This window comes from Homo sapiens, chromosome 5 (genome assembly GCF_000001405.40).
Source record: "Homo sapiens chromosome 5, GRCh38.p14 Primary Assembly".
Lineage (NCBI taxonomy): Eukaryota > Metazoa > Chordata > Mammalia > Primates > Hominidae > Homo > Homo sapiens.
In genome coordinates, this window is record NC_000005.10 from 150,928,349 (window position 1) to 150,951,185 (window position 22,837).

At 37.1% G+C, this 22,837-nt stretch overlaps 1 pseudogene across 1 annotated transcript; it reads right to left on the minus strand.

The window, feature by feature from the left end:
• Positions 1–2,087: 2,087 nt before the first annotated feature.
• On the minus strand, positions 2,088–18,236 carry ZNF300P1 (zinc finger protein 300 pseudogene 1; annotated as a pseudogene). Its single transcript, NR_026867.1, has 5 exons — positions 17,958–18,236; positions 15,466–15,524; positions 14,202–14,328; positions 13,870–13,965; positions 2,088–3,946 (listed from the first exon to the last, which is right to left on the minus strand). The product of NR_026867.1 is annotated as a zinc finger protein 300 pseudogene 1 (transcript).
• Between the last annotated feature and the right edge of the window lie 4,601 nt (positions 18,237–22,837).

Below are 22,837 nucleotides of genomic sequence, written 5' to 3' on the forward strand. Positions count from 1 at the left end.
TTGTAGAGTAATGCTGTTGGCAAGTTTCTGTGATGAAGCATCTCCATTGTCCAGAATGCAGAGCCAGTGTCAAGACACTGGTCACTGTGAACCCCATCCCCACCTTTTGTTTCTAACTGACCCCAGGTGTTCTATCCCTGCTGATATCCTCAATGTTCTGTTTGGGGCAAGATAAGGTCTGGCATCCTGTAATGGGTCCCAGAATGGTGGGGAAGCAAAATATTCATCTTCAACTTTTTTTCCCACTGTAGAAACCATAGGTCCTGGGGAATCCTCTTTGTGTGGTGCTGTGCCAAAGTGAGGGAGGGGTGACACCACTAAAGTGAAACCATTCTTCTATTTTTTTCTGAGACAAAGTTTCACTCTTGTTGTCCAGGCTGGAATGCAATGGTGCAATCTCGGCTCACCGCAACCTCTGCCTTCTGGGTTCAAGCGGTTCTCCTGCCTCAGCCTCCCGAGTAGCTGGGATTACAGGCACCTGCCATCACACCCAGCTAATTTTGTATTTTTAGTAGAGACGGGGTTTCTCCATGTTGGCCAGGCTGGTCTCAAACTCCCGACCTCAGGTGATCTGCCCGCCTCAGCCTCCCAGTGTTGAGATTACAGGTGTGAGCCACCATGCCCAGCTGAAACCATTCTTTTTAACCTTCAGATTTTTTTCAGTTCTGCAATCCAAGGGGCACCTCAAACTTACTCCTTTTCTCTGGGATATTTACAAAGATATGTCTGTCTATGGATAGTTGCTACTTGATTTCTGTGAGGGAGATTAGAGCCAGAGAATTTCTTTTTTTTTTTTTTTTTTGAGACGGAGTCTCGCTCTGTCGCCCAGGCGGGACTGCGGACTGCAGTGGCGCAATCTCGGCTCACTGCAAGCTCCGCTTCCCGGGTTCACGCCATTCTCCTGCCTCAGCCTCCCGAGTAGCTGGGACTACAGGCGCCCGCCACCGCGCCCGGCTAATTTTTTTTGTATTTTTAGTAGAGACGGGGTTTCACCTTGTTAGCCAGGATGGTCTCGATCTCCTGACCTCATGATCCACCCGCCTCGGCCTCCCAAAGTGCTGGGATTACAGGCGTGAGCCACCGCGCCCGGCCCAGAGAATTTCTATTCTGTCATCTTGCTGACATCACTCCAGGAGAAAATTACCAATACATACAACAAATTGGATGAATCTCCAGGGAATAATGCTGAGTAAGAAAAGCTGTACTCAAAGATCACATACCATATGATTCCATTTATAGTACATTCTTTAAATGACACAATTGTAGAAATGAAGATTAGTGGTCACTAGGGATCAGGTGCTGCGGGACAGATAGAGGTGAGTGTGGCTATGAAAGGGCTATATGAGGGATCCTTGTGGTGATGGAACCGATCTGTAACTTGGCTAGCAATATCAGGATCCTACTTTTGTTTTTGCAAACTGCTACCATGGTGGGAAATTGTTTATGGCGGGAGAGCTAATCACATCCCAATTCATTTTGGTATTGGATCTTTGAGTTTTCCATTTGCTTGTTGCTAATATATAACCATATAATTGTTTTTTATAACAAACTTTGGATCCTGTAATATTATGAAACTATCTTACTAGTTCTAGAACTTTCTTGTAGATTCTTTAGAATTTCTGGTTATACTGTCAGTCTCTCCATCATTGCCTTTCACCTCAAATAAGGGCCTGATTGATGTCATTTGTATTTCTCAGAACAGGTTCTTTTCAGGGGTAGACCAGAACAGTGAGACATCCACTCCTGAAAGACTTTCTCTTGAAAGATAACTAGAATACTTAGCCCATCCTCCCTCCCCCTTGTTTGTCTAAATTCTACATAGATAGGAACCTTGTGATAGGTTTTCCTCCTCATGTCTGTTGAAGTTTCACCAACTGGAAATTACTTATGTGCCATCCTTACCTGGCATGGAATATTTATAAATGAGTGTCTCTTTCTACAAGAAAAATTTTACATATACCTTTAGGAGTGCATGGCAAGTCCCTTCCCTCAAATACAATTTCTAGATATTGGCATTTTCAAATGCAGACTTTCTTGATGTCCTCTATAGTGAAGAACTGCATAACCAAAATTATACTAGGCTAACATTAACAATCTTACACATATCTGATTGTTATGTAGTATAATCAGGAGCACATAACTTCAAAAGAGATGTACATGCAATTCGTTCTGTTATGCTAATCATTCATTTCTCAATTTAAAAACTTTTATATGCCATAGTGAAAATGTCCATCATTTACGTATTGACTTCTCTATTATCTTTGATAAAGAATGAAATACATTAGGAACATGACTTCACTTGTAAAATTTTATCAACAAAGATGTAGTCCCCAAAATCATCAAATCCATTGGTTGTTGCACTATCTATTAAGGCTTGAACTGACCCTGAAGGCTTTTCTGTGTTCAGACCATTCTTATGATTTCATTAGTGTATGAATTCTCTGATGTACAGTGAGTTGGGACTTCTGGATGAAGGCCTTCCCACATACAGTACATCGATCAGGTTTCTCTCCAGTATGAATTATCTGATGTACAACAAGGTCTGACTTCTGAGAAAAGGCCTTTCCACATTCAGCACATATGTAAGGTTTCTCTCCTGTATGAATTCACCAATGCCCTGGGAGGTGAGACTTCTGAGAGAAGGCTTTCCCACATTCAGAACATACATAAGGTTGTTCTCCCGTGTGAATTCTCTGATGTCCAATGAGATGTGACTGCTGACAGAAGGATTTTCCACATTTGGTACATTTATAGGGTTTCTCTCCAGTGTGGGTTCTCTGATGTATGATGAGTTGTGACTTGCGAGAGAATGTTTTCCCACATTCTGTACATTCATACGGTTTCTCCCCAGTATGAATTATCTGATGTATAATGAGTTCTGACTTCCTGCTGAAGGCTTCCTCACATTGAGCACATTTGTAGGGTTTCTCACCAGTGTGAACTCTTTAATGTATAAAACAGAATGCTTTCCCACATTCAGTACACTTACATGGCTTCTCTCCAGTATGAGCTCTGTGATGTATAATCAGCTGTGACTCTGGGAAAAGGCTTTCCCACACTCTACATTCATAGGGCTTTTCCCCAGTATGTATTCTCTGATGTATAATGAGGGGTGATTTCTGGGAGAAGGCTTTCTCACATTCACTACATTCATATGGTTTTTCCCCAGTGTGAACTCTCTGATGTATAATGAGGGATGATTTCTGAGAAAAGCCTTTTCCACATTCAGAACAATCATAAGGTTTCTCCCCAGTATGAGTTCTCTGATGTGCAATAAGGTGTGACTTCTCACTGAAGGCTTTTCCACATGCACCACAATCATAAGGTTTCTCTCCAGTATGAATTCTTTGATGTATAATAATCTGTGACTTCTTGAGAAAGGATTTTCCACATTCAACACATACATAGGTCTTCTCCCCAGTTTCAACATTCACATAATGAATAAGAGATTGTTTATTGCTAAGAATCTTTCCACAATGAGTAGCTTCACAGTGTATCATTCCACTATGATTTTTTTCATGCTTAGAATAGCAAGAACTGTAGCTAGGTGTTTTCCCACATCTAAAATTCTCATCAATGTTTTTTCTTGCAAAATTCCTATTATAACTCACTAGGTTAATATTTGGTTTCAAGGTCTTTTCAAATGAATCACACTTACACAGTCTTTGTTTTGAAGTATCTAGGTCTGTGCAGTCATGAAATATTTTTCCAAATATATTATATGGATGACCTGACTCTTCAGATATTCTTTTGTTGTTGATGACTACAACTTGCCTGACAAATTTGTCTCAGTTTTCCTGATCTCTCTCCAGCTGGTCATCACCTTGCCAGACTTTTAAAATGGAGTACAATGAATGACCCCTTGTAATACTTTCCAGTGTCTCCTTATGGAAGAAAACATCTCTAAATATATCCAGTTGAGGGGTGTCAAGTCTACTCTCTCTGTCTGAAAAAAAATAAAATAAAACAGATATAATAAAGATTTAGTCCTCTACTCAGAAAACAAATATAATATGAAATAAAATGATTTTTAAAACACCAAATCAGAGCAATGAGAAATTAGAAAGACAGGCCACAAATTGTAAAATGTTTATTAATCAAAAACTGTTATTTCATTGGGTAAGAAAGTAAAGTTATGGCATTCTTTCCTAGGTTTTCTGCAACTATCACCCGCAGTTCATGTGGCATTAAAAACAGAGGTGAGAAACCCAGTTTGACACTATAGTAGAGTGGCTAAATATTTAACAAGGAGAAACTGGAAGCAACAGAGTCATTAAAAAACTGAAATAATAGGCTGGACACATGACCTGAAATTCCAGCATGTTGGGAGGTAGAGGCAGGAGGATCATTTGAGCTACAAGTTTGGGACCAGCCTGGGCAACATAGTGAGACCTGTCTCTTTGTAAACAAAAAAACAAACAAACAAAAAACAAATCTGAAATAACAAACTCTTCATATATCCCCACCAGGTTGCTAAAACGTTTCTGCAAGAAGACCCTAGAGAGTCAAGCAATGATTGAAAATCTAGAAAGACTTGCAAACTTGCTATACCTTTGAATCCATGCCTAAATTGTTCTAATCCACGCACAATTTAGGTGTCAATGTGTGGAAGCTTTACTGGCTTTTGATGTCTAATATAACCTCTGTCCAAATCACTAGTTCATCTCTATTTTATGCAGGGGCAGGGGAGTCCACTGGGGGCCAGGATTTTAAAAATAAAATAAATATATAAAAAAATAAGCAGAGAACCCGGGAGGCGGAGCTTGCAGTGAGTCGAGATCCCGCCACTGCACTCCAGCCTGGGCGACAGAGCGAGACTCCGTCTCAAAAAAAAAAAAAAAAAAAAAAAATAAGCAGAGACATCAGCAATAGCACACCATCGGGAAAAGAGATGTCATAGTTTGATTCTGAATAAATTATCTGTAAAATAAAACCTCCACTGTCAGAAGAACAAGAAGAGTCCAGAATACTACAACAAATTATCTCCAATGTACAGTTTTCAACCTAAAGTTACTAGACATGTAAAGAAGCAGAAAACTGTAACCCATACTCAGGAAGAAAATCAATAGAAATGCTCCAAGTGGGCACAGATGTTCGATTTAGCAAAGACTTAAAAGAAGCTACTGTAAATATATTAAAATAACTAAAGAAAACCATACTAAAGGATTAGTAAAGACCTAGATACTTTCAAAGAAGAAAAAAGTATATAACAATAAAGAGTGGTAGTAAACAAAATTTTAAGAGCAATGGAACTGGTCTATATTATGATTGTGATGGTAGCTAAATGAATCTATGCCATTGTCACAATGTAAAGAAAGAGTACACTTCATTTTATGTAAACTTAAAAATAAATTTAAAGAGAAAAGAACCAAATGGAAATTCTAAGGTTAAAATGAAAATTCCACCAGATGAGCTCCTTGGTAGATTTGAAAAAGTAGATGAGAAAATCAGAATCAGTAAACTTGAAGACCACTAGAAATTATCCAATCCAAAGGGCAAAATGAAAAAAAAAATTTAAGAAAATTAAGCATAACATCAGAGTTCTGGGAAACAATATTAAGCATTTCAGCACATGTGTAGGAAAGAGGTGGAAAACATATTTGAAAAAATGTCTGAGATATTACCAAATTGGCTAGAAAACAGTAACTTACAGATCCAAGAAACTGAATAAACCACAGGTAGGATACCTAGACGCATAACAATTAAGCTACTGAAAAATAAAGACAAAGAAAATCTTGAAAGCAGCAAGAGGAAAATAACACCTCATACATAGGAGAATAATAGAATTGTCAGTTGACTTTTCTTTTTTTTGTTTTTTTTTTTTTTTTGAGATGGAGTCTTGCTGTGTTGCCCAGGCTAGAATGCAGTGGCATGATCTTGCCTCACTGGAACCTGCGCCTCCTGGTTTCAAGTGATTCTCCTGCCTCAGCCTCTTGAGTAGCTGGGATTACACATGCCTGCCACTGCGCCTGGCTAATGTTTGTATTTTCAGTAGAGATGGGGTTTCACCATCTTGGCCAGGCTGGTCTCGAACTCCTGACCTTGTGATCCACCCGCCTTGGCCTCCCAAAGTGCTGGGATTAAAGGCATGAGCCACCATGCCTGGCCTCAGTTGATTTTTCAAGAACAAAAAATGGAGGCCAGAAAACACTGGAATAACATATTAAAAGTGTCGAAGGAAAACAACTTGTCAACCAAGAATACTATATTCAATGAAAATCTCCCTTAAAAATGATGGCAAAATGAAGGCATTTCAGATAAACAAAAATATGTTGCCAGGAGAACAGATCTACCATCTAGCTGAATATCAATGGCATCTCAAATACACAGGATTTTACATTTTTTAAAATATGCAGGTGCTACAGTTTGAATGCCCCTCACAGTTCATGTGTTGGAAACTTAATTCCCAATGCAACAGTGTTGAGAGTTGGGACCTTCAAGAGGTGATTATGTCATGAGAGCTCTGCCCTCATGAATGCTTTAATGTTGTCACAGGAGTGGGTTAGTTTTCGTGAGAGGCGGTTCATGATAACAGTATGAGTTCAGCTCCCTTCCTTTTACTCTGATACGTTCTGTTGCTATTCTGCCTTCTGCCATGCAGCATGAAGGCTCTCACCCAGATGTCAGAGCCATGCTTCTGGAATTCCCAGGCTCCAGAATCATGAGCCAAATACATTTCTGTTCATTGTAAATTTCCCAGTCTGTTATAACAGCAGAAAATGGACTAACACAGTAGGTAAATTGAATGTAAACACTTTTTTCTCTTTTCTTCTAATTTTGTTAAAAGACTTTCAAAAGCAAATATAACACTGTATTGTTGAATTTATGACAAATATATGTGACCACAAAGGACAAAGGAGTACAGGAGGGTCGAGAGGGGTAGGGAATGGAGCTATGCTAGTGCAAAATTTCTATATTTTTTCCAAGAAAAAAAAAGCAACATTAACTTGAAGTAGGTTGTAAGAGGCCAAATATCATATTGTAATCCCTAGAAAAACATTCTCCTCACACACAAAAAACAAAAGACATTTCCAGATAAACACAGAACTACAGCTAAAAATTTAACAGAGGAATTAATATACTAAAAAGTATTTCTTTCAAAGAAAACAATAAAAGAAAAAGAGGCCAAAAATCAAATTAAACCAGTAGTAAAATGGAAAGGACAAATCAAATCAATAATGAAATTAACTGGGAATGCAATAATACTCCAATCAAAAGACAGAAATTGTAAACTGGATAAAACAGTAAGAACCAACTATATGTTGTCTAAAAGACATTCACTTTAAAAGCTTGAAAATGCTCATGCCTGTAATCCCAGCACTTTGGGAGGCCGAGGCGGGTGGATCATGAGGTCAGGAGATCGAGACCATCCTGGCTAACAAGGTGAAACCCCGTCTCTACTAAAAATACAAAAAATTAGCCGGGCGCGGTGGCGGGCGCCTGTAGTCCCAGCTACTCGGGAGGCTGAGGCAGGAGAATGGCGTGAACCCGGGAAGCGGAGCTTGCAGTGAGCCGAGATTGTGCCACTGCAGTCCGCAGTCCAGCCTGGGCGACAGAGCGAGACTCCGTCTCAAAAAAAAAAAAAAAAAAGCTTGAAAATGAAAGGATAGGAAAAGTTACCACACAAATTGTGTTTTAGAGTTGGAGTAGCTGTGTTAGTATCACAAAATATACACTTTAAGACAACAAATATTATTAGAATGAAAGGTACATTTCAAATGATGCTGCCAAAGGATTACTACAGCAAAAAGATGTAACAATGATAAATGTATATCACCTACAGAAAGAGCCCCACAATACATAAAACTAAAACTGAGAAAAATAAAAGAAAAAATGAGACAAATTAACAATTACAGCTAGTGATTTTAATACTCCTCTTAACAATTATTTATTTTAAAAATAGACAAAACACCAATAAGTATCAACCAATCTGATCTAATCAACATCTATAAACACCCATCTAATAACAAAATACACTTTCACTTCAAGGACACATGGATATTCATCAGAATAGACTGTATTCTTGACCTGAAAACACATTGCAATGATTTTATAAGAATGGAAATCATTCAGAGTATATTAACCAACCATAATGGAATTAATTAGAAATAAATAATAAAAAGACATCTCAGAAGTCCCCCCAAATATTAGAAAATTAAACACACTTATAAAATAACCTATGTGTCAATGAGAAAGTCAAAAGAGGAATTAGAAAGTAACTTGAATTTAATTAATATGAGAACACAAAATGTCAAAATTTGTGAGATAAAACTAAAGCAGTGCTTAGAGAAAAAAATATATAGATACAGGTAGTCCTTACTTTGCAGAATTCTGACATGCAGGAATTTCAATTACCACAGGTTAGCTAAATAATGCCAGTCTGCCAGCAACACAGTTCAAACTTCAATATAGTATCTGTGAATAATGGCATGGAGTACAAACTATACTGCTAGCTCTTCAGTCTACAAATCATTATGTATGTAACAGATATACATCATGATCAGTGACCAGTCATTTCACTTATTTCAAAGTCTGTCAATGATTATTAGTTGCACATCTGTCATCCAGTATGCTCACAGAGAGCAAAGTGTGTAGTTTATGTTCCTTGCTTGTCTCCCAGTGATAAGCCCACATGAAATTTTATAAAAACTGATAATTAGAAGAGTGAATTGGACAACAAAGATAAAAATTCAGAAAGGAAACAACATTAACAATATTGTTTTTGAGTAGAAGATGGCTGACTGGAAATGTCGACACTGCTGCCATTCAAGAGACTTTAGATACAAAGTAGAGGAATTGAGTAAAAGCAAACTTATTAACTTACTATAAATATAAAAACTGGTTGTGATGACAAGGACAAAGGTAGTGCAAAGAAAGTAATGTCATAAAAAAAAATCTTCACATAAACTCCTGGACATATTTCACAATATTGTAAGCACAAAGGATAAAATGTTGGAATGGATCCAAACTTAGAAAGGATTATGACAATTCACCTAGGTATAGAAAACATGCTCATTCCATATCATAAGTTATACAAGAAGATGGCAAACACTGTTAAAACTACTCTTCACAAGTTTTTTGGGGAAAAAAAAACACATTCAAAATGCTGCCAATGTTTTAAATTTCAGGGTAATAAATAAATATTAGTTTTACTGTGTTTTCATTTCCTATATATTTATAACAAACAGTAAAACAGCTTTTAAAGTTTTGGAAAAAATTCTTAATGGTCACAAAACCATTGTAATTTTTCCCACTGATTATGAAGATTACTTTGCAAAGTTTCAGCTTCAATAGTCATTTTTATGGTTCCCCATTACCACACAAAACGAGGACTACCTCTATTTAAATGCTTATATTAGCCAACAAAAAGGTTTCAAATCATTGATTAAGCTTTGAACTTAAAAAGCTAGGGGAAAAAAAAGAGCAAATTAAACCCAAAGTAAGTAGAAAGGAAAAAACATCAAGGTCAGAATGGAAATCAATGAAATAAAAAACAGACAAATAGATAAAAATTAGTGAAATCAAAACCTAATTATTTTTAAAAATTAATGAAATTGATATATTTTAGCTACTGGTGAAGAAAAAGAGAGAAGACATAAAGTAGCAATATCAGGGATTAAAGACATATAAAGATGCTACAAACATAAATGACCAATAAAAGAATATTATGAAAAAGTTTATGTCAATGACTTTGACAATTTAGATGAAATTTTAAAATTCCTTGAAAGACACAAATTACCAAAGCTGACTCAAGAACAAGTAGATAATCTGAATAGATTTATATCAAGGAAAGAAACTTAGCAAATAAAAATCTTCCCACGAACAAAAGTCCAGACTTAGACTAGTAAACTCTATCACTGTAATAAGGCATACCATGAGTATAACAGCTTTTCTGGGTTCTATGAGTCCTCCTAGCAAATCATCAAACCAATGGTGGTCTTGCAGACCCCCTACATAACTAGCAAAGAAATCCAGCAACATATAAAAATAATTATACACCATGACCAAGTGAGATTTGTCTAGGAATATAAAGTTAGTTTACTATCCCCCAATTGATTACAAATCAATAAAACACTATATAAATAGAGCATCTTAATAAAAGCAGAAAATGCATTTGTCAAAATCCAACACATTTTCATGATAAAAGCACTCAACAAACTAGGAGTAGAAGAAAACTTCCTCAAACTGATAAAGGGCATCTAGGAAGAACCTACAGCTAGTATCATACTTAACGATGAAACACTAGTTGTCTCCCCATATGATTAAGAACAAGGCAAGCATGTCCATTTTCACTATTCTATTTAACATTGTACTGGAGGTTCTAACCAAGAAAAAAAATTAAAAAGCATCCAATATGGACAGAAATATTTAAAACTGTCTTTATCTGTAGATGACAAAATCTTTATCCAGAAAATCCTAAGGAATCAACTAAGAAACAATTAGAACTAATAAGTGAGTTTAGTAAGGGTCAAGATACCAGACCAATATACAAAAATCAACTGTATTTCCATATTCTTGCCATGAGCAATCTGAAAATGAAATTAAGGAAACAATTCCATTTACAATAACATCAAATAGAATAACACAACTTATACTCTGAAAACTATAAAACATTATTGGAGGAACTAAAGTTCTAAATAAATGGCAAAACATCTTGCATTCATGGGTCAAAAGACTTAATATTAAGATGGTAAAACTCCTCAAACAGATCCGTAAGTGCAATGCAATCCCTATGAGAACCCAAAGGAGTTTATTTGTAGAACTGATACACTGATTCTAAAATTCATATGGAATTGCAAGGAGCCCTAGTCAAAATAATCTTGAAAAAGAACACAGTTGGAGAAATGACACTTCTCAGTTTGAAAACTTACTATGAACACAATAATCAAGAGAGTATGGTACTGGCATAAGGATAGATAAACAGATGAATAGAATATTATTAGGAATCCAAAAATAAAACCTTAAATTTATGGTCAATTGACTTTTGACAAGGGTACCAAGACTCCTAAATGGGAAAGGAATAGTCTTCAATAAATGGTGCTGAAGTAACTGGATAGCTTCATGCAAAATAAGGAAGTTGGAACTTTACACCATATGCAAAAATTAAAATGGATCAAAGACTAAATGTAAGAGCTGAAATTATAAAACTCTTAGGAAAAAAAACCCACAGGGGTAAATCTTCATGACCTTGGATTTGGAAATGGATTCTTAGATTTGACACCAAAAGCATGAACAACAAAAGAAAAGAACAGTCTTCAATCAGTGGTGCTGAAATAACTGGATAGCTACATGCAAAAAAAGGAAGTTGGAACTTTATATGCAAAAAATAACTCAAAATGGACTCTACACTAATGGGTGTGAAGTGCCATCTCATTGTTGTCTGGATTTGCAGTTCTCTGATGATGAGCATCTTTTCATGTGCTTATTAGTCATTTGTACACCTTTGGAGAAATGTCTATTCAGATCCTTTACTCATTTTTGAATTGGATTCTTTGCCTTTTATTATTGAGTAATGGAAGTTCATTATATTCTTTTAGGTTGGTGCAAAAGTAATTGTGGTTTTTGCAATAGGTATAAGTCCCTTATCAGATGTGTGATTTGCAAATAGTTTCTCCCATTCTGTGGCTTGTCTTTTCACTTTCTTAATAATGTCCTTTGAAGCACAAGAGTTTATAATTTTGATGAAGTCCAGTTTTTAAATTTTTTCTTTTGTTGTTCATGCTTTTGGTGTCAAATCCAGGAATCCATTTCCAAATCCAAGGTCATGAAGATTTACCCCTGTAGGTTTTTTTTTTTTCCTAAGAGCTTTATAACTTTAGCTCTTACATTTAGTCTTTGATCCATTTTAAGTTAATTTTTACCTATGGTGTAAGTTCCAACTAACTTCTTTTGCATGTAGCTATCCAGTTATTTCAGCACCATTTATTGAAGACTATTCTTTTCTTTTGTTGCTCATACTTTTGGTGTGAAAATCAGAGAGATAGCGATAAGATCGCACTTCACACCCATTACTGTAGTTAGAATCAAAAATGGGCAAAGGATCTGAATAGACATTTCTCCAAAGAAGGTATACAAATGACTAATAAGCACATGAAAAAATGCTCATCATCAGAGGACTGCAAATCAAGACAACAATGAGACAGCACTTCACACCCATTACTGTAGTTAGAGTCCAAAAGGAGAAACTGGTAACCTCAGACCCTGCTGGAGGAAAATATAAAATAGAGCAGCCACTTTTTGGAAAACATCTGGCAATTCCTCAAATGGTTAACTACAAAATTACTGTATAACTTAGGAATTCCACTCCTAGGTACATACCAAAGAAAAAATAAAACATATGTCCACATCAAAACTTGTAGTTAGTTGACCGTTTACAGCAGCATCATTCATAACAGCTAAATGCTGGAAATAACCCAAATGTCCATCAACTGATGAATGGATACACAAAATGTCATATATCCATACAATGAGATATTATTCAGCCAAAAAAAGGAATGAAGTACTGATACTTGTGGATGAACTTTGCAAATATCATGTTTAGAAAAGGAACCCAGTCAAAAAAGACCACATATTATATGGCTCATTTTATATAAAATGTCCAGAATAGGCAAATCTATTGAAACAGAGAGATTAGTGGTTGCTTGAGGCTATGGAGAAATTGAATAGAGGGGTGATAGCTAAAGGGTACAGGGTTTCTTTTTGAGGTGATGAAAGTGTCCTAAAATTGACTATGGTGATGGTTGCACATATCTATGAATATACTAAAAATCACTCAGTTGTTTACTTTTAATGGGTGAATTGTATGTCATGTGAGTTATGCCTCGGCTGTATATAACAACAAAAAATGTCAGGGTAATATAGCTGGAATCTCTGTCTCTTCCAAATCTGATGTTGAAATCTGATCATCAATATTAGAGGTGGGACTTAGTGGGAGGTATTTGGGTCATTTGGGGATCCCTCATGAAGGGCCTAATGCTGTCCTTGCAGTAATGAGTTCTTGCTTTATTAATTCCCTTAAGAACTGATTGTTAACAAGAGCCTGGGACCTCCCTCACTAGCCCCTCAACCCACCATATAATGCCTGCTCCCCTTCACCTTCTGCCATGAGTGGAAGTTTTGTATGGCTTGTGGAACCATGAGACAAATAAACCTCTTTTTTTTATACATTCCCCAGCCTCAGGCACTCCTTTATAGCAATACAAATGGCTTAAGATAGTATGGCTAATAAAACATTAACTATGTGTATCATCCATACTGTGTATCCAAGCTTATATTCCACTACCCCCTAATAAATATCTCTGACTGAAGTCAAGTAAGCCTAGCGAATTTCCATCAGAAAAGTTATGTTAATTCCTAACTAAAGATTTATAGAAGTCCTTCTTCCTACAGGCTCTTGCCCTCCTTCTGCCTAAGCCACACTGAGGATATGATTCAGAGCAGCTGCTACATGCTCTGAAAAATACCTTCTTAAATTTTGCCACATCTCTTCAAACTATAATTTTCACAAACTCCTAAAACATAACTATATTTGACATGTAATTTTATGCAGCCATGAATCATGATGACTTACCTTTTCTTGTACAACCTATGTCCCTGAAAGGCATTTGTTTCTATTGCCTTTGAATTTCTTTTAGGAAGACACTAAAGTTATGATTGTTGAGTGAACAAAAAATAAATACCTCTTTTTGTACATGGCTCACTATTAATGAGTTAGTTGTTGAATGCCTACTACATGCTCTCCACAGGAGCAAGAAGAAATAGGAGATGGCAATCTGGGTGGAGATCTAAGCCTCAGCCATAAGCCAGTTAAAAATAAAATAAAGCAACTGAGCATTTATTTTTCTTGTCTCCCATCTGCCACATTTTCACCTGGATAGATCCAATTTGGTATGTGTCTCTTTATGATCCATGGCTCTTCTCCTTGTTCCAACTTGGAGATGACATCTGGTTTGGAAACTGGATATCCTATTATAGAGAAATCATAAAGGAATTGGGTTGACTACACTGTAGAAAGAAGAGAAAGTGCAGTTGCAGGAGCCCACAATAAGCTGTCCAAGTGACCCTCTGCAAAGTAAAGAACTTTCACTAGAGAAAGGAAAAAGCACAAAGTCATTATAGGTCAGGAACCCACCTAACCCAATCAGATAAGGGAGAGGCACTGGATTGGACAACTCTGAGTTATTCAGGGGAGCCATCCTTACCCATTGAGACCAGGTGGCTATAGATCTCCAGCATCACATCCCTGTACAGGGTCCTCTGAGCATAGTCCAGTTGCTGCCACTCCTCCTGGGTGAAATCCACAGCCACATCCTCAAATGACACTGGACCCTATAACAGTACATTCTTGCTCAATCAGAAGCGATCATTCTCATTATTTCCACTATAGTTTGCAAAACCATGTGCCTAATTCTATATCATGCCTTCTGAGAAAAATTATGTAAAATTTTGTCTTTAGCAAAAAACAGTCAGACACATCAGGAGAATAGAAAAGCAAGAAGAAACCTAATCACAAATGGGAATTTAATAAATAATAAAGGAAGCATTTCTAATAAGTAAGTTATTCAACAAATGGTATTGGGAAAACTAGATAGCTATCAGAAAAAGTTGAGAATTTTCATTTTTAAAACAATAGAATCAGTAATTTCCACTGCACACCCAGCACAAATTATTAATATGGATATCCCAAGAGGAAGGAAGAAGTGAAAGGCCATTTCATTTTTAAATTTTTTACCTTTATTATATTGTTTTAAATGTTTACACCAATTATACATAACTTGAGCCAGGAAAAAAATAGTAAAATGACTTTATACATTTAAGAGCAGAGAAAGAAATGACTTTAAGTTGGGGAACTTAAATAAGGGTTCCCCACAACTTTAAGGGAACAGCCCCACAAACCCTGAAACTATAGCAAAAGCTATGGAGAATCTGAGACTTCTGCACTCGAAGCCTTTGCCAGTGAATCATAACTAAATCTAAAATAAATATATTAAGACACAACTACAAAAACATCTATTGATACATTTATATAGGAGTTTAGGTAAGGATAGCACCTATAGGAGGACTCCCAAAAAATAAATTTATTTTACTCCTAAAGGCAGGAAATATTTTCTTCTCATTGAAAATTCAGCTAATTTCCCTTTGTGGAGAATGAAAATCTTGTTTATCATGTCCTCTATCTTTCCACTGGGACTGCTATAAAGATCAGACACATTTATACCTTATATACTTTGGTAAAATACAGTGATATGAACATACTATATATATATATGTGTGTATATATATATATATAATTTGTACTCTAATAGTGGTTTTATAAGGTTTAAACCACATAATTGGCATATTACGTAGAAGCTGTTTCCAAATCTTTATCATTTGTTCTCTCTACATCTTCTTAATCCTAATTTTTAGCTTTCTGTATTTTTCCATTTGATTGCATGGTAACCAAGTACAAAATAAGCAGCTCACCTGAGACCTGATCATTTTCTGCTTCCCTTCCGATAGGGCAGAGGTCTGAGGAATCAGGTCTGGAAGAAAGAATGGAGTTTTTATGGGCCAGAACTAACATTCACCAGTCTCTAAACAACCACCACCAGAAGTCAGGTAGCTGATAGGCCATCCTGTGGGAGAAGGTCGTGATGGGAGAAGGTCGTTTGACCCTTATAGCAAACACCATGTGAAGGAGGTATCCACCTTTAGTCCTTTTGTGACTATGATATGATCATACAGAACTAGGTGTATAATTTGATCACATAGGGCAAGGTGTATTTTTAATTAGATAAATGCAGATATGTTTCCTGTGGATTTACAAACACCTAATTGTTCCCCTTTGAACCAGCAATTCTATTTGAATTTCTATTTGTAGAACTATCTTAAGACAATAATCATGGATATCATGGAGAAATATATATTTAACTGCAGATGTTCCCTGGAGACAAGAATGGGAGTGACCAAGAGGAAAATTAAGGAGTGTATTCCCTTATTTCCTAAACCAAAGCAGCCTACAAAATTCTAAGAGCTCTGTTATGGACTGAATGTTTGTCCCTCCAAAATTCAAATGTTGCAATTCTAATGTGATTGTATTGGGAAGTGGGGTCTTTGGGAGGTAATTAGGTCATGAAATGAGAGCCCTAATAAATGGGATTAATGCCCTTACAACAGGAAATATCAGAGAGATGATTTGTCTCTTGGCCTTGTGAGGATACAATGAGAAGTTTACAAAACAGGAAGAGTGCTATCAGCAAACACTAGACCTGCTGGCACCTTGATCTTGAACTTCTCTGCCTCCAGAAATGTGAGAAATAAATGTTTGCTGTTTAAGGTCCTCCATCTGTGGCATTCTGTTACAGCAGCCCAAACTGAGTAAGACAAGCTCTTTTATATTTTACTCCAAACCAGCAAATTCTCTTGATAAATCAATATTTGTGGATTAAAATTGCTGATTTTAAGATTTCTTTGGTTTAAATTTTTATTGCTGATTTTAAGATTTCTTTGGTTTAAATTTTTATTGCTGATTTTCAACAAGGCAGTTGCCTGTATAAAAAATTACTGACAGGTTGGAACAATAAACGGGAATATACTACATTGCAGGAAAGTACTTAGCTGGTAAACTCTTTTCAGTCTGGGATAGATCATGCAGACAGAGCTGAACTCATTCAGAGCAACGGGGGAATATCATGATAGAGAGATTGTTTCATTTGTGCCATCCCAGGGTTTGTCAAAATAAATCAGGAAGGAAACAATCAAATAGTCATGTTAATGTCTGAACACCCAGCCCTCCATAGAGTAAATAGCAGATGTCCAATAAATATTTGTTAAATAGAACATAAACTATTTCAGTAAACTTACGAATAAGCAAGACTGAAACTACACCTTTCATAATAAGAAAGAGAATATGCCTTAGAATGCTCTGATATCTAAGAACCTGTCTGGCACTCACAACTCTCTTACTTAATATAAACAATTACACGAACATAAACATCACATAAGGCCGCTATGTGACCAGGATAGATCAAGACAAAAACAAGATTACTCTGACATCATGTAATGACGAAACACCAATATTGTTCAATCCACAAAATACCAATCATCCCTCTCTCCCCTCCCGTCTGCTACTTCTTTAGCTATTACTTTTACTTATTAGCTTCAGTCTAGTCTTTCCTCCTTCTAAATAAAATTTATTGAAATTCCCAGATTTTTTAAAAAATAAAAGTCACTGAATTACTCTGTTTCCTAATAGCATTCAATCCAGAGTAAGACCCACTTCCTTAACCACTCCCTAAAATCACCTAACACAAAGCCAAATCCTGCAAATACTTTCTAACACATTCTTACTGATGATACATACCCCAACAGTTCCCTGTGGTGACAGGGCTGAACTGATTCATCCTAACTCAGCTTCCTAACTTATTCAACCACAGGGTATTCCTGGTTTATTTGGGCTAGAAAGAATTGACAATAATGATCCCATTCCTTTAATATTTGTTTTGATATTTATTTGAAGGATGTTTTCTTCTGTGAAGGCACGAGTTATGGAGGGGACAAGTGGTTTGAGAAAACTTCTGAAGGTTTTCAACTTGAGAGTAGTCTGTGACCTGCAGAGATTGCAAAGTGAGGCCTGTTCTAATAAGTTGGAACTAACTTTAACAGCCCTTGGTCCTTAAAATCACTGAATCGCCAGGTCCAGAAATCACAAACCCCACAGAACACATCCATCCCCACCACCATCATAGCACCAGTCATACAGGTCCATAAGTCACTGGCCACACGTACACCCCATCACTTGGCGCAGACACTCCATCCCTGACCCACAGATCACACAGGCCTCCCTGCTAATGACCCCCACATGTTCCCAACACTCATCACTAACCATCACTGAACTCATAGACCTCGTCACTGAACCCCAAGGAACCCTGCCCCAATACCAATCCCAGACTCAACCCATAAACCCCCCTGCTGACCCCTAGCTTGATTATCAGGTCCCAAAAATCCTATCACCGCTTAATGGGAACCGCTGTCACATCCATATTGGCGAACTCTCCCGCTTCGTGTTCGCGAGCCAGGTAACGGGCTCCCGAGGCTGCGCTGTTCCGTATGGGGCGATTTTGCCCATTCTTCATCTTCAGCGGCTTTGTTCAGGAGGCAACATGACTGCTCCCAGACGCTGTTTCCGCACGGGGCCGCCATTTTGAGATCCCAGGCGTCTCAGTACAAGCGGAGGACTCGCCAGGCGCTGAGCCGGAATGTGGACTGTACCACAGTGACTGCGAAGGGAGGGGAAGACGACGGCAAGGAGGCCTACTACACGAGCAGTAAGGTCCACACTTTTGCAGACAGATTTCACAGGATTGGAGAAGAAGTTGGAGTGCTACTGTCCTCCATTTAAGGATGCTTATGTTGAAAGGCGAAGAATTTAGAATGGTACAATATTTTCGTTGGCGATTCCAATTAAACGTGTTTGTAAATGGTACGTTCTTCTCCGGGGCGTTTCCTCTGTGGGAGACTGGGGCCACCATGGTGGGAACGGTCACTTCGGGAGGGGATAACAGTAATACTGAACTTTTATTAAGAGTAATGATAAGAAACACTCCGAGGGAGATATTACAATACTGCGCGGTAATAAGTTGCAGGGGCAAACTTTAAAAAAAGGAGGAAAATTGAGACAGGGAAGAGGAGATGGACGTACAAAATAAAGGAGAAAGTGCGGAAATGAGAAAGACTAAGGGACAAAAAGACGCAAGACCTAAGAACAGAGAATGGGAAACTAAGGGACCAAGAGTGAGAGACTGGGGACAGAGGCAAGGGGACGACGAAGGAGAGGGGAGAAAGAGGGAAGTGGGGAGCCTGGGAAAAGGAGGACGCTGATGGAATGTAGAGGGAGACTGCGTAAGGTGACCAACGGTCCCTCTTTGCCTGAAACTATTATAGGATTAGCAGCAAAAGTCCGCTGTGTCCCGGGAAGTCCCTCCCTGAGGCTTCAGAAGTCCCAGTTTCCCTGGATGAGTGGGAAAAATTTGACGAAAGATACAAAACCCACTAGGTGGCCCAAAAAGTAGGGTTGAAAGGGATGGTTATTATTGTCAAGTCAATATGGCATAGATTCTGTGCCTTTTCCTAGGCGCTATTGCTATTTTACCCCCATCCCTGAGGTTGGCGACCATAATTTGCAATTTACAATAATGGATTACCCATTGTTGGGTCACTTTGGAATGTTGGGATTTAAGTGTATGACTTAAGTGCATTGCCATCATAAGCATTCAGGAGTGTTTAAGTTGGATTAACTATGCTGCTTTCTACCAATTATTGTGCTAGTTTAATTTTTAACATTGTAAATATTATGACAATGTTTTCTAAGAGTTCAGACAATAAAAATAAGTATGATTATAGTACCAACACCAGCATGATCCAGACATCCAGGAAAAGACATTTTAATGACGGCTATAAACATACATACAACTGATTAGGGAGGTAAATAATTAAAACAGCATACTACACAGTATGCAAAAAAGAATTTAGGATTGGGCATAATAGAGAAGGGGATGTGAAAGCACTTACGGAGACTGAATTGTACAAGTGCAGGATGAGACAAACAAGTACTTCCAGTAAACAAAACATTTTTCCTTTCCCTTACAGTATATAGCAAATCCAGCTTTCAGCAGTATATCAAGTTTTCTTATAGTGTCTTTGGCTTTGGTAACAGAGTAATGCTATACCTCATAGAATGAGTTAGGAAGTGTTTCCTCCTCTTAAACTTTTTGGAAAAGTTTGAGAAGGCTTGGTGTTCTTTAAATGTTTGGCAGAATTCACCAATGAAGTGTGGTTTGTAGCACCACAAAGCAATCGCAATAGTAACATCAAAGATCACTGATCACAGATTATCATAACAGATACAATAATAATAAAAAAGTGTACAATATTGTGAGAATTACCAAAACATGGCACAGAGACTTAAGTGAGCACATGCTATTGGAAAAATGGTGCCAATAAACTTCAATGCAGGGTTGCCTCAGGCCTTCAATTTGCAAAAATTGCAACCTCTGCCAAGCAAAATAAAGTGAGGCACAGTAAAAGGAGTTATGCCTGTATTTCATCGCTTCAAAAGAGGCAAAAAAGGAAGAATAAAAAATAAATGTTGGAACAAACAAAAAAATGGCAAGATTATGGTTCAATGCAACTATATTAGTGTCTACATTATATGTAAAGTGATTAAAATCCTATTAAGACAAAGATTGTCATACTTGATGATTAATACAAAATCTATATCATTTTTTATGAGACACACTTTAAATGAAAGTGTGTCAGTTAGCTACCGTGTCAAGAAAACTCAGTGACCTAAAATAGAATGCTTGTGATCATCATCATCATCATCATCATTTATGTGGCTATGGGTTGGCTATGAGTCAGCTGACTTCAGCTGACTCATGTCAGCAGGTTGGTTGACAGCTCCACTCAAGTCTGGCCTTGATGGAGAAGGTTAGCAGGGCCAGCTATAGGATGTGTCGCTCATTCTCCACATGGAACCAGTGGGCTAGTGTGAACATATTTTCATGGTGATGCTAAAAATACAAAAATATAAGCACACAAATCTTATGGCGGCTTAGTCTCTGAAATTTGCAACACTTCTACTTCAGTCCCTTGGACAATGTAAGTAAAAAGGCTGATCCCAGAGTCAGAGTTGAAGGGTACTGCAGTTACATGGTAAAAGAACTGAAGCAGAAAATGTATAAAATAAGCCTATTACATCTTACAGGAGAAAGCAAAAACTATAAAAACCTATTAAGATTCTTCAAAAGCCAATCTGAAAAGGCTATCACTGACCAAAGATGAGACCACTTAAGCATCAAAATTAGTAACTGAATAGATTGAAGCTCACTGAATATTTAAATACATGAATTTATAAATTCACCAGAAAAAGAATTAGTTAGCATTGGAAGACCCTAGGAAACCTATTCTTTATGCTAAAAACCGTTGTGTTTTGTTTTTTTTTTTTAAGAAAAGAAGGATTTCCTTGCCTTTTCTATTTTAATGATACCTTGGAAAACTAAAGAGTAGATAAGGAGAAACACCTCTTTATAGGAAGGGTGAATGATTAAATTAGAATGCCATTATTTTTAGCTGGCTAGCCATATATAGAAGAATAAAACTGGACCCCAACCGTTCATGACAAAAAATTCACTCAAGGTGAACTAAAGATTTAAAGATAACACCTCAAACTGTAAGAATCTTAGAAGAAAACCTAGGAAACACCATTCTGGACATTAGCCTTGGGAAAGATAAAATAGCGTGGTTAGGTGTAAAATTTCTTGGTAAGTATTATTCTATATTCTGTTTCTATATACATTGATGTTACACTCGTATAGACCACCCCAGCCATGTAGTTCCCTCATATAGTGCACTCAGAAATGAAATCCTTATATAAGTTTGGGACCGTCTTTATATTTGATTTGTAATTCTGGAATCTCACCTACTTAAATTATTGTCATTTAAAAATATGTATGAATTCTAATTTATAATTTTCTGAAGTATTTTTAATGAAATGTTTTATATAGGGTCTGGAAAATGACTTCCCTTGTGACACTATATCTTGGCAACATAATTTTCCAAATTCATTAAATTAGCCTGATTTATCCTCAGTACAAATCATATGGTTAATAAGCCTGGAGATCATGTTGAAGGTTTCTCACATTCAGAACTTTTATAGATTTTCTTCAGTATGAAATTTCTGATGTAGAGAGAATTGCAAATTGTAGATCAAGTCAGTCATAAGTCATTTTGCCTGTGTGTGTTTTCTTATTTCTAATAAGGGCTGAAGTATAGCCGAAAGTTTTTGCACATTTATTCAATGCAAAGGGCTTCTCAACAGTATAAATTATCTAATGTACAATGAGATATGACTTCTTGGTAAAAGATTTGCCACATTTAGTACATTTATAGGGCTTATGCCCAGTATGAAACCTCTGATAAACCGTAAGTTACGATTTCCAGATACAGGTTTTCCCACATTCAGTAAGGCTTCTCTCCTGTACAAGTCCTCTCATTTCTTTTTATTTCTTTCATTTTTTTCTGAAACAATGTCTCACTCTGTTGCCCAGGCTGGAGTGCTGTTGTGTGATCTCAGCTCACTGCAACCTCTGCCTCCCAGGTTCAAGCGACTCTCCTGCCTCAGCCTCCTGAGTAGCTGGGACTACAGGCATGCACCACCACGCCTGGCTAATTTTTGTATTTTAGTAGAGATTGGTTTTCACCATGTTGCTCAGGCTGGTCTCAAATGTCTGGCCTCAAGCAATCCACCCGCCTCAGCCTCCTAAAGTGTTGGGATTACAGGTGTGAACCCCATGTCCAGCCATCCTCACGTTTCTAAAGTTCTGAGTTGTGCCTGAAAATTTTCCCACATTCCATGCATTCAAATGTCTCTTTCCAGTATGAATTCTCATATGTACAATGAGTGCTGACATCTGGGTTCAAACTTTTCTACATTCATTACATTCATAGAGTATTTTGCCTGTGTGAATTTCTTTTGTCATGTTAAGATGTAACTATGCCTGAAAACTTTTTACATAGGTTACAATTATAGGGGTTTTTCCTAGTATGAATTCTCTAATATATAATGAGGCAGATCTTCTTCCTGAACGTTTTCCTGCAATGAGAACATTCATAGGAATTTTCTCCTGTATGAGTTTTTTGGTGCATAATGAGGTATGAGTTCCTACTAAATGCCTGGACACGCATAGTACATATGTATGCTTTCTCTCCTATATGAGGTCTCTGATGTACAATAAAAAGTGACTTTTAGACAAAGACTTTTCCACACTCATTGCATTCATAGGGCATCTTGTCTTCA